The following is a 13,963-nucleotide window of genomic DNA, read 5'->3' as shown; positions in this document are numbered from 1 at the left end:
ATTTACAAGACTTGCAGAGGCTGTGAGCTGTGTGAATACATTGCACATAAGAACTACAGATGTTTTAAAGGTATGCAAGGTGGGATATAGTTGTCTCCAACCTAGTGATTTTCATATCCCAACAGGTCAAAGGAAAAGCACATTAAGAGATCCAAAGAAGTATTTCAAGAATTAAAAAAGCTAGATCTCCAATCAATAAATATTTGATTATTGCTGATGTGTTTTAGCTTAGTAAAAAGCTGAGGAATGTTGTATTAAAATGAGTAAAGGGGGAAAGGCCTAATAGGTAACATTTTATTTAGAGGTCTTATTTAAGACAAAAGTTTGAAATTTCAGATTCAAGTACTCCATTATTTTAATATTATAGTATACATACACACACACACACGTGGGAAAGTACACATCATAAGTGTGCAGCTCAATGAATGTTCACAAAGTGAATGTATCCACTGAGTCCCCTCCTGCCCCCTTCCAGTTACTATTCCCAGACTTAAGGTTGACCCCATCTGGACTTCTAATATTTGGTTTATTTTTGTAGGGGGAGGGGGGATTTTTTAAACTATTTATTGAATTATAACATGTATATAATGGTATACAAATGATAAAGGTATAACTCATATTTTCACAAACTGAACACATTTATAAAACCAGATCAAGAAACAAAATGTTACTGGCATCCCAGAAGCCATTTTGTACCTCTTGCAAACATTGCTTCCCACCAAGGCTAACCATTTCTGACTTCCACGACTCTAGTTTAGTTTTTCTTATTTTTGTACCCTGCATAAACTGAATCAGGTGGTATGCACTCTCATGTCTGACATCTTTCACTGGACATTACACATGTGAGATTCATCCATATTACCACACATAGTTCTATAACAGTTTATTCTCCTGCAATGTGGACATGCTGCAGTTTATGTGCCCATTTATCACTAGTGGGCATTTGGGTTATTACAAATTGTGAAAACTCCATCTTTAACCTTTCTCTCAGGTTAATATGAGTTTTATTTCTGTGCATGTTCTGATAAGAAAAGACCTTTTACTTGCCCTTAAAATGCTCTTGTCATACTCACGGCTGCTGTTTGTCCTCTGAAAAGTATATCAAAGCCTTCACTCCCCAGTTATAAAAAGATTGGGTCTTCTGATGTTAGGGTCTGAGAGGAACTCCAAGTATTTAACAGGGCATTTAATTGATAAATCATCAAAGGATTGTAACATTTTACAGCAATTAACTTAACTCATTTGTTGATTCAGTTGAATTTAGAATATATTCAGAAAACATCTTTAACTTCTCAATTATTGCCTTCAGTAATTGAATCTTTCTCCTCTACTCTTTAACTGCATAGTTTTCTCACAAGCAGGTTTTTTTTTTTTAACGGAGTCTCACTCTGTCACCCAGGCTGGAGTGCAGTGGCTCAATCTCGGCTCAAAGCAACCTCTGCCACTAGGTTCAAGCGATTCTCCTGCCTCAGCCTCCCAAATAGCTGGGATTACAGGTGCCTGCCACCATGCCCAGCAAATTTTCTTTGTAGTTTTAGTAGAGTCGGAGTTTCACCATCTTGGCCAGGCTGGTCTTGAACCCCTGACCTCGTGATCCACCTGCCTTGGCCTCCCAAAGGTATTGTTTTAAAAACCTGCTCTGCCCTAAATCAAAACTTCAGTCTCTCAATTAAACCCTCTCGCCTCCCACTAGCTCAGCTTCACTCCTTTGTTCAGAAACAATGGTAAGAAGGAAGGCTCGATCTGTTCTTTCATGTTCCTTGCTCCCCAAGGCTCCTTTTGTGGCTCTGGATCTTCGAAGGTTGGTTTAATGGAGAATTTGGAAAGGGGAAAGGAAGAGACAAAGAGTGAAAGAATGATAAAAGGAAAAGAGGTAAAGGCTTTCTTAGTTGGTTGTGTTATAGTTCTCTCTGAATTGTCAAATAGTCTTTGTCATGGCAACCACCAAATTCTGGATCTTTTGTGGGGTACATAGTGGGTTATTTGGATCCCAGTGGGGACTTCTGATTCAAGTAATATATTCTCCAGCTGATCTTTGGAAGCATCCCTTCTTGGGGTTTCTATTCCTCTGGGGTCCCCTCACCTTGGCAGGCTCTCTTGCTTAATATTCTTTCAGCATGGTGGGGCTTACCTTGCGCTCAAGAATTTACTCTCTTGTGCCCCTCCAAACCATGGGAATATCCTTACTGAACACTCTTTTTTCTTCCGATACGATGGAAAGCTCCAGTCAGTGAGTATGATGCCCTTGTCACAAGTGCTTCAAATACTTTAGGAAGGAAATGGTAGGAAATATCTCCCTCCCCTCTTTGTCTTCCTCACATGAATTTATTTCAAATAATCCCTTCTATTAATCTCTGGCCTTTTTTTATTCCCCAGCTTGAAAGGGGTTGTAGTCACTAGACTGGTTTTGCTGTCTTTTGTTAATATCTCATAAGGAAGTATCAGACATCTCTCTTTAGAATGTGTGTTTATCATCCATTGATCTCAGTTTTGAAGCCTTAGCCAAAATGTTGAAGTACTAGGAAAAGACCTAGTTAACGCTGTTATTGAAGAGCAGAGACAGGTTCAAATTGGGCTTACTTACAGAATACCTACACTACCTGGAACCACCAAAAATACTTTTAGGGACTAAGATGGGACTAGATAGCTGGTTAACGTGGTAAAAATTCTTTATACCCAACAACTGTTGAGTAGGCCACATGGAGAATACAAAACATTTAAACTCTAAAAGCTCTTGAGCAAGCTTGAAAGGCAGGATTTGCATTCTTAAAACTATTAGCACATCATAATTGTGCTGTATAAAAGGGAAGATGAAATGGTACAGGTAAACCATTATCCAGAAGTTCAGCTGAACACAGGGAAGCATTAGCCATTCCTCCTTCTCATTACTGAGGAGCTGCTGCTTTGTGCCATGCATATTGTCTCAAATGTCCAAACCAGCTGACTGGGAGCCATCCCCCATCAGGGCAATGCAGTATTCTCTATTGAAACATCAAGAACAAGCAGCAACACAAGAGGAGAACCATAATATTGAGTATGTGGAAGAGAACTTTTTTGTTTTTCTGATTTAGTATGTCCTACATAGGATTGCTCCTTTTGAACTGTATCAGACTTTGAAGCTGGTCTCCCTCAAACTTTTTCATTAAAGAATCTCTGCGAGTGGAGAAGTATAAATGATTGATTACCTCTCAAAGTTCTAGAGGCTTAGCTTGCAGTAGGCTCTCACAAATTTTAAACATCTTTGACAGTTTCTATTTTATTTTCAAACATCATATGAACTTCACACTTCAGCTACAATGTATCTCTGATGGCTTGAACATTTGTCCTTTCCAAAACTCATGTTGAAATTTAATTCCTAATGTGGCAGTATTGAGAGGGGGGACCTTGGAGAGATGATTGGGTCATGAGAGCTCTGCCCTCATTAATGGATTAATCCGTTCATGGATTCATGGATTAATGGGTTATCATGCGAGTGGGACTGGGGGCTTTATAAGAAGAGGGAGAGACCTGAGCTAGCATACTCAGACCTCTCACCATACACTGCCACCTCAGCACTCTGCAGAGTCCCCACCAGCAAGAAGACCCTCACCAGATGTAGCCTCTTGGACTTCTTGGACTTCTCAGCCTCGGAGCTTGCTTCTCAAGCCCCCATGGACTTGGACCTTGGACTTCTCAGCCTTCATAACTATTAGAAATAAATTCATTTTCTGTATAAATTAACCAGTTTCAGGTATTCAATTATGAGCAACAGAAAATGGACTAAGATAGTATCTCTTTGTTTTAATTTAAAAAAATACAATGACTTAAATTATTTACCATCAAATAAGGCTGTATCTGTGTATATTATACCCCCAGGTATACTACTATATACCCTAAGGATTATACTTCAATTTGAGAAGATAAATGTTACTATCTTGAGTTAAACATTAGTTTCTAAGCTTCTTTTAAATTTAAATGACACTTCATGAGAGTTATGAAAGTTCTTGGCTTTTAAAAGTTAGCAAAGAAGCCTCAGTCTTTATATCGTACTGAGAAACACATTTTATAATAAGGGGTATAAATATGAATATGTCATGAAGAACAGTATCAATAACACTTGACAGTTTAATGAACCAGAATTTTCACAACATAGCCATATATCCTAGTCCTCGTAAAACATATCTCCTATTTCTTATCTTGTAACCCCGTTAAATAGAGGAGGATTTAAGATCTCCACTTAAGAGAGAAGGAAACTGATGTTTACAGTGGTTAAGTGACTTGCCTGTGCTTACAATTGATAACTCACTAGCCTGTAAGCTCCATGAGGGCTGGGACCTTGTCTATTTTGTATACAGTTTTATCTTCGCCCTCCAGCACAATGCCTGGCAAATATTAAGAACTCAATAAATGACTAATAATTTAATCTCCAGACTTCTAGCTGTAGCTTTCTTTCCCTATACAGCGTACTGAATAATTCTTCCCAGAAGGATACAGCAGAAAGAAGACCAATTGAAGAACCAAAGCAAAAATCTGTCCTCTTTTCCAATTTTCTAAGGACTAGCTCTGAAATCCTGTATCAGGAAAGGAAACAAAACTATAACATTCATTTTCTCTTCTAGAGCTGAGATTTTTTTTGTAGCTGAATTTGTCACACTTTTTTTTAAGTGACATCCCTTACCAAAGACATAATACTTAAAAGTACAGGTGCTAAGGTAGACATGAAAATGAATGACCTCATGGATTTTTTGGTGTTTCTAAACAACTTGCTGTGAAAGAAGGGCATTCCATATGGTGAACTCAAATGCCCCTACACCAGGGTCAGCCTTCATGGTAAACAGTAAAAGGTCTGGATTGCCTTGTTAAAACTGAACTAAGCAACAAACTCTTAGAGACTTAGAAAATCAGCACAGATGTTCTTCCATGTCCCAGAGTTGTCACTGCCGTTCAGTACCATTACTGTAGCTTAATGACATGGGAGCGTGGGGTCCTGAGGAAGTCAATAAAAGAGCATATGAAGAAAATGATAAAAAGAGATCCATGAGCAGAAGGAAATGAGTTTATTCTTACCATGGAGTAGATGAAATTAAACAATTTTGCTCCTGAACACTGAACAGATGATCATATATTGTCTCCTCTCCATTGAGTGGGGAAAAAAGGCATCACTTTCACTTCTTGGTTTATACCATGATGGAAACCATAATCATTGCAAACTGAACAGTGAAGACTATATCTAGTTGAGAAGAGTATTAGGGACCTATGGAAATCCATTTATGCATTCCCGTTGGGTACTACCAAGCATCCAATCATATTACAGTTTCACAGACCACATCATAATTCAGGGAGTCTCGGATTCAAAAGCAGAAGACCTGCGTTTTTCAGATCCTCATTCTGCCTCTCACTAACTACTGGGACCTCTGGCATATCACTTAAAATCTCTAAATCTCTCCTTTCTGCAATTTGTGTCTATGGGAAAAATAAACCTGACTTCTCATGCCATTTTGAAGATTTCAATGGGAAAATAGAAAAGAAAGCTGTTTGTAAACTGTAAAGCACTCTATAACTCTCAGATGGTATTATTGTGACTGTCTCCTCTCCTATTATTACCCACTTCAGACGGAAGCATTAAAGAGGCAAGGGCGGGAAGGAGGAGGTATGACATAAAGCCATTTCTGCCCAGGTATGATTTTGCCTTGCATCAGGAACATTTTTGTAGACAGATAAATAAAATTGCCCTTATCTGATGTACAAGGTAAGTACAATTTTATTTTACTTATTTGTCTACAAAATGTGAGGTGCCTTGCATGCTTCGTCTCATTTCATCCTCTCAACTTTATAAAACCCATTTTCTTATGAAGAAATGAGACTTAAAGAGGTTACATTATTCACCCATGGCCACACATCCCTTAGGAGAGAGCTGGAATTTAAATCCAGTCACCTGACTCCAGAGACCTCTCCGTGAGGTGCTACAGGGTATGCACCTATGGCAATAGGTTGCATAGATCTAATGCTACAATTTTTAAAACTTTTCTACGGTGAAATATATATACACCAACAATACATTAAAATGCATAACCTAATGAATTATTGCAAAGGAAAAACTCATCACCTCAAGAAAAACACATCAAGAAGTACAGCACTGCCACCTCCCAGAAGCTCTTTGTTTTCCGACTCTTACTCTCCCCAAAGACAATCACTATCCTTGCTTTTACAGCAATTGTCTTAATGGCTTCACCATGCAAGTTTGCAATCACTAAACACTGTAGCTTAGGTTTACTTATATTTTAATTTTACGTAACTGGAGTAATATAGTATACATATAGCATACAATTTTTTGGTCTGACTTCTTTTGATCATGTTTATGAGATTTCATTTTTTTTTACCACTTTGTGGCTTGTTTCGGTTTTTTTAACTTTCAAAAATGGTGTCTTTTGAGGAATAGAATCTCTTAATTTTAATACAGTTAAATGGCTTATCAACATTTCCCTTTTAACAGGAATTTATCAACATTTCCTTTTCAGTTAGTGCTTTTGTGTTCTTATTAAAAAATCGTTCCCGTTTCTGAAATCATGAAGATAGTCACCTAAATTATCTTCTGAAACATTGTTTTACCTTTCATATTTATCACAACAATCCACTCTAATTGTTTTATGTGTATGATAATGGGCTAGAGGTCAAGGGTTTTTTTCCCCCCACATTGTATCCAGTTTTCTTAGCACTACCAATTGAACAGATCATCTTTCCTCATTACTCCAAAGTGCTACCTTTATCACAAATCACGTGTCTTTATATGCACTGGTATGTTTCTGAGCTTTCTCTTCTCTTCCATTAGTCTATACATCTATCCTTACATCTGTCCCCTCCCTTTTAGTTGACTATCATCTTATAAGAAGTCTTGGTTTTCTTTAAGATGATGTTGGTTACTCCTGGCCTTTTGAATTTTCATATACACTTCAGAATAAGCTTGTCAAGTTTTACAATAAAACGTTTGAGATTCTTATTGAGATTATATAGAATTTAGAGATCAATTTGAGAATAATTGGTATCTTTACAAAATTGAGTATTCGAATCTGTGAACCTGGTATATCTTTCTCTCCATTGGTGAGGGGCAGGGAAGTGTGGGTTTCATTAATTTCCATTAGTAATGTTTTGTAATTTTCTACTTTTACCTTCTTCCTAAATAATCCAAGTGCCTTGAAGTACTTTTACATCTTTATACTTTCCTAACTTATGTACTTTTATTGTCATATATTTTTATTGTTTGTTTATTTTAAATCACACAATAAAATGTTTAAACAGCTTATATTTATTTGGATTTGTTCATGTCTTATCAGTTTTCTTAGATTTCATTCTATGTCTCTCATCTTCATGCAAGGATATCCTGACAGAAAAAGACTCTTGTGTATTTACTTTACTGAAGGTCTGCTGTTAACAAATTATCTCAGTTTTTATTCACCTGAAACTCTCTTTCATTCTGAAGTCTATTTTTACTGAGTATACAATTACAGGTTTTTTTCTCAGCACTTGGCAGATATTTGTATTTTAGCTTCCTATGTTTTTCTGCTGAGAAGTCAGTTATCAATACAACTGTCATTCTTCTGAACATAATCTGTCCTATATTTTCTGGGTGCTTTTAAGTTATTTTCTTTCCTCATTTTTTGTAATGGCTCAGTATATTTCTTTTAATGTTTTCTTCTTGAGTTTTTCTATCTGTAAATCGATGTATTTCATAAGTTTGAGGATATTCTTAGCTGGATATTATCAAATTGTTGCCTTCTACCCTCTTTTTATGTCTCATTTTTGAAGCTATAGTTAAATGTATATCAGACTTTTGGACCGAATCTTCTGTCTCTTAACCTCTCTTCTGTATTTTGTATCTTTTTGTCTCCCAGTTGCTTCATAATAAGTATTTCCTTCTGATTTGCCTTTTATTTCACTAATTCTCTCTTCATTGAAGTCTAATCTATGAAATATTTCCACTGAATTATTAATTTCAGTAGTTTTTCATTCTAGAATTTTTATTTGATTTTTTAATATTATCTCAGTCATATATTTTAGTTCCTTTAAATAGCAAGAAGAGTTATTTTAAAGTCCAGCTCCAGTATCTGAAGACTGTGGATTGCCTTGTTTTCCTTTTTGTTTTTCTCTCCCTGATGATTCTCTTTCATGCCATCTCATTTGCTTGTATGTCTTCTTTTCTTTGATTGTGTGTCAGACATTATTTCTAAGAATTTTAGCCTTGTGGTGTAGGGTGATGTTATGTTCCTCTAAAGAAGATTCATATTTTTATCTGCCACATGCGTTGGAGCTTTGGTAATCTGAGGTTAATTTAGTTTTAAAAGTGATTATTTTTCTGGGTTATCCAGATATCTCCTACCTCAGATCAGTCTATATGAGAAATGTATTACTTCCAATTTACTTTTCCTATTAGCATACAGCCACGTAGGGCCTCAATGCAAATTGCAGGGAGTTTATGATGACCTTTTCCTTGAGCAAGCCCAGAACTTTTATCCCTCTCTATAAACTTTCAGAAGTACTGCTCAGCCACATAGCTTTCTCTTCCAGAATGGCAAACTCTAGACACTATGTCTTTGAGTACTGTCTTCTCCTAGGTCTTGGCCCAGTAATTCTTCCCTTTATTATCATTGTAATATCCTTATTTTATTTTTCTTTTTTTCCAGCTTTAATGATTATCCTCTTCAAAACATTTGGTCCATATCACCCTATCAACAACTGTCGGAAGTAAAGGCCCTATTCCCGACTTCTCATAGCAAGCCCCAATGTTACTGGAAGGAGTTCAGTTAGATGATATTTTTACATTTTCTGATATTCAGGTTAAAAAGCTATTTGGTTCTGTCCAAAAAGAGAAATTTTGGGACCATCTTGTAGCTTTGGAATTTAGGGTTCCAGATTCAATAAATGCAATTAGTGAAATTTTTTCTGTATTAGTGAAATTACTTTTATTATAAAAGAAACACAATTAAAACTGATATTTTTGCCAAGCATGGTGGCAAAAATACATATTTTTTAAGTGAAAAGATTCCGTTAGTTCTCTTAATCCAGAGGGATACTGGCTTCAGGTGGGCTTCTTCCAGGGGCTCTAAAGATCCCATCAGGGCTCATTTCAGTCCATCTGTCATTGCCGTCTTCTGACATGCTGACTTCATTCTCAAGTTATCTGTGGTAGCCCTTGGAGGCTACATATTTATATCCTCCCCATTTTGAGGCCACCACAATATATCCAAGCATCCCAGAAACTCTTGTTATATTTCACTGGCTCTGCTGGATCATTAGTTCATGGAGAATTCATGGTTCAACAGAATTCCCCAGTGCGACCTGGGGAATCAGATGCTGTGATGCAGCACATTTAAGTTAAAGGTTCCAACCCTGAAAAGGGGTGTGGTTCCCAACCAGAAGTGCAAGATTTTAAGGTGGTAGAGGACATGCCTTGTTGAGAAAAATCAGAAAGCTGTTTTTGGTAGAAAGGGAATGAATTCTGGATAAAAGAAAACAAACGTCCACTACAACAGCCAAATGGAAATGAATGTTGTCATTTCCCTCTGTAGCTTCTGTGTCTCCCAGTTGCTTTGAAAGCATTTGGTTGTTTAATTTATTATGCTGTCATAAGTGCACAAAGGGCTCTCTTTGCATCTCAGGTGTGTTTGAGGTTAATCTGTTTTACCTATTAGTTTTGAAAGATCCTTAAGACTGTTGTGCATTTGGGAAGTGGGAAAGTGCAAAGATATGCCACAAGTTTAGAGGAGCACCTTCATCTAAACACAGTATGCCACCTTCATGAGTGTCCTGTGGGATGAAAAGGTTGGAACGGAAAGCAAGTTTAGGTAGGCACTTTAGGATCCTGCCTCAGAAAAAGGCCTGGTGTTATCTGTCCTGAAACTCAATGAAAATGAATTGATGAGCAGACAATAGCTAGTGTGCCCAGCTGATTGATCTATGCAGCCCCGAACATCCCCAAGCTGTTTGGCAGCAAGTCGTTTTTCTTCTGTCCTTTCCTTATTAATTCAGGCTATGATAAATGGCCTTGCTGACAGCCCACTACAATGAAAATAAAATCCTTGTCAGGGAGTCTTCCGTCTTCCTAGAAGCTAAGAAAAACTTGTCCAGTTTTTCTTGCAGTGGAATTTTCTCACACAATCATAGTGGTGATGTGTGAGTGTGACAGTGTATGTGTATATCCTGCTGAACGCTATGAGGTCACTTCAAGGCAAAAAGCACAAAAGTTAATTAAAAATAGACCTCTTGCAAACAGAAGCCACCCAGCTATACTTCATGTGTGTTATAAGCAGCCCTGAGAAAATGTACAACTCTCAGAAACACCTTGAGTTTAAACCATACAAGGGAGAAGAAGGAAATTAATGGATACTTTTCCCATAGGGTCTCATAAAAGAAAGTAACAATTGAGAAGTGGAGAAAGAAGGGATGTAAACACTCATTATCCATTGTTGGGGAGATTTCACACCAATCACTTCACCCTTCCCTAGCTTCTTACACACCTCTCTCTCTCTCCTGATCTGTATTGTGTGGCACCTCATGACACACTGCAGGCAGAAAGCTGACATGCATTTAGTGAGATCTCTTCTTTATCAACAAGAGTTTACATGTTCCAACATTGCTGGAAACAGGATGATCCATAAAGAGATCTGGTATCAGTAGAGTTAGAAGAGTCTCTGGAAACTGTCGGTCGAGGGGACTGAGACAAGCAGGGTGGCAGGTGCTGTTTGCAAGTGATTATCTCACAGATATATTCACACATGTGTCCAAGGGTAAGCATAGTTTTTTTTTGGCAGGATTGTTTATAATCGAAAAAGCTGGGGAGCAGCCTATATGGCTGGCAGTAGGTAAAAATAAGATCGTTCTACTTAATCAAATAAACATTACAAAGAAAAAGGAATCTCCAAATGTCTCACCAGCAACAATTTTCAGAAAAGTCACAAAAGAGTATATGTGCTTCAATTTATAATCTGTTAAAATAGGGGAGATGATAAATAGGTAGGTAGGTAGATAGATGATAGATAGATAGATAGATAGATAGATAGATAGATAGATAGATACACACATATAAACACATATATCTGCTTGTATATATCAGAAAATTTCTGGAGGGAGTAAGCAAGATATGTAAAACTGGTTGTCTCTAGGGAAAGACAATGGTAGTCTTTGAATAATTGGAAAATCACTTGTAGGTATTTTGTACAGTTTGAATTTTGTTTTTACCATTGCATGTATTATGTTTCCATTAGAATCTAATATAATTCTCTTTAATGTTCTGATTCCCAATCTAGTGTTGCGGTTTGCTCATCTGCCTTCTAAAGGGGAATACAAAAAGGGTGTGGTTATAACCTAAGATCTTTTTGAGACAGTCACTCCAGGTACTCCTTGTCATGCTGACAACTTTTCGGTTGATGCTGGGCAGAAGGCTTACATCTCTCATCAGTGATACACAGAACATATGGCACAGTATAGCCCACTAGTTCTCAAGCAGAATCACCTGTAGGTGTCAAACAGATTCCTGAGTGCCACCTCCAGAATCCACAAGTAGATCTGGTGTGAGGCCTATGAATATATATATTTATATATATTATATATGTAATATATATTATATATATAATATATGTAAATATATATATTATATATAATATATGTAATATATTATATATAATATATATTATATATAATATATGTAATATATTATATATAATATATATTATATAAGCATACATAATATATATTATATATTATACATATAATATATATTATATATTATACATATAATATATGATATATAATTATATGTATTATATATAATATATAATATATTAGATATTATATAACATATATTAGATATAATATATATAATATATTATATATTAGATATTATATAACATATATAATGTATATATTATATATATAAAATATCTAATATATAATATATGCTTATATAATATATACCCGTGTATATAATATACGGGTATATATTATACAGGTATATAATATATGCATGTATTATATATATGTGTATATATAATACATATAATATATAATATACGTGCATATATAATATACGCATATTATATATAACATATGCATAATATATATAATATGTGCGTATATTATATATAATATATATGCTTATATATAATATACAATATATTATATATTGTATATAATATATATTATATATTGTATATTATATATAAGCATATATACATATATACCCATATATACATATAAACACACATGTATACATATATATACACATATATACATATATACACACATATATGTATATATATATATAATGGAATACTACTCAGCCATAAAAAGGAATGAAATAATGGCATTCACAGCAACCTGGATGGAATTGGAGACCGTTATTGTAAATGAAATAACTCAGGGATAAAAACCAAACATTGTATGTTCTCACTCATAAATGAGAGCTAAGCTATGAGGATGCAAAGGCATAAGAATACTACAATAGACTTTGGGGACTCGGGGAAAGGATGGAAGTGGGGTGAGGCATAGAAGACTACACATTGGGTACAGTGTATACTTCTTGGGTGATGGGTGCAGCAAAATCTCAGAAATCATCACTAAAGAACTTATTCATATAACCAAACAGCACCTGTTTCCGAAAAACCTATTAAAATAATAAAAATAAATAAATCTTTAAAAATAAATAAAACAATTATTGGGGGTAGAGTGGGAGTTATTTTAAACAGGGTAGACAAAGAAGGCCTTTCCAAAGTGGTGATATTTAAGTTTAGAGCTGAGGATTAGAAGGAGCCTGTGTGTGTTTGTTTTATACTTACAGATACATACACACATATTCATGTATAAACTTTTTAGTTGCAGAAGTGAAATCATATTTTTCTGTGGCACTCCTTATAGGTTTATCTTTTTAAAAAAAAAAACTGGTCTTTATTTGTCAGACTAGAGTATGAGGAAATTGGTATTTTTGAGTTCTTGATAACTATGAATCTTTTTGAGATCCAGTTTAAGAATAATTTAAAATTTATATACCTTTTCATCAAACAATCCTATTTATAATAATTTATCTTACAGATATAGTGACAAAGTACATGAAGATTCATATGTTAGACTAGCATAAATCTGTGAACAACCTAATTGATCCAACTGACGAGAGACTAGTTAAATACATGAATACAATGGAATACTAGGTAACTATTTAAAAGAATAAGATCTACGTATGAGAAAATATCCAAGTTATATTATTAATAAAGCAAGTTGCAGAAAAGTAACGAAATAAAGACATGAGATATCAGAGCCTGTTTGGGAATGATGCATTACAAAGGGAGGCATTGAAGGTGGAGTAGAGAAGGAGATGAGCAAGGGAGTGGAGTGCTGGAGAGAGCCCAAGGGCTGAGATCCAGGGCCTGAGCAGAGGATTGGATTTTGATGAGAAGAGCCACACTTCCTTCAACAGTAGGGTCCAGATATAGGCAGATGAGAGTTTGGTGTGGAGAGGTTAAAAAATACCCTCATCAATGAAGTATGGCAAGATGTATTAGACGAAAATAAATGGAAAAATGAGATTTTTGCAGAAGAAAAACTGGAGGGAAAGTGGAAAAGCAAACGTTCCTATTGAAGAGGCAGCCGATGTCACAGAAAAGCAGAGAAAAGCCGTGGCAAAGCTCTCGCCCAGGGCATAGTGGCCTTGCGGGTAAGTCACTTACCTTGCTTTGGGTCTGAATTTCTTCATGTATAGACTGGTGAGAATACTCACTTTCCTTTGTGGGTTTGTGTGAGACTTGGATAGAATAAATGTGGTGATAAATTGCAAATTGTGAAGCCCTGTATAAACATGTGTGACTTCATCTTTTTTTCTTTAACGTGCAAAATAGAGATAGTAGTTGTACCTACTGTGGCAGTTTGGTACTGAAGATTAAATAAAATGAAATAGCACCACATAATGAAAGCCTTCTTCCTGGTTCATAGTAAGTTCTCA

Source organism: Homo sapiens, chromosome 3, assembly GCF_000001405.40.
Source record: "Homo sapiens chromosome 3, GRCh38.p14 Primary Assembly".
Lineage (NCBI taxonomy): Eukaryota > Metazoa > Chordata > Mammalia > Primates > Hominidae > Homo > Homo sapiens.
This window is presented reverse-complemented; position numbering follows the sequence as displayed.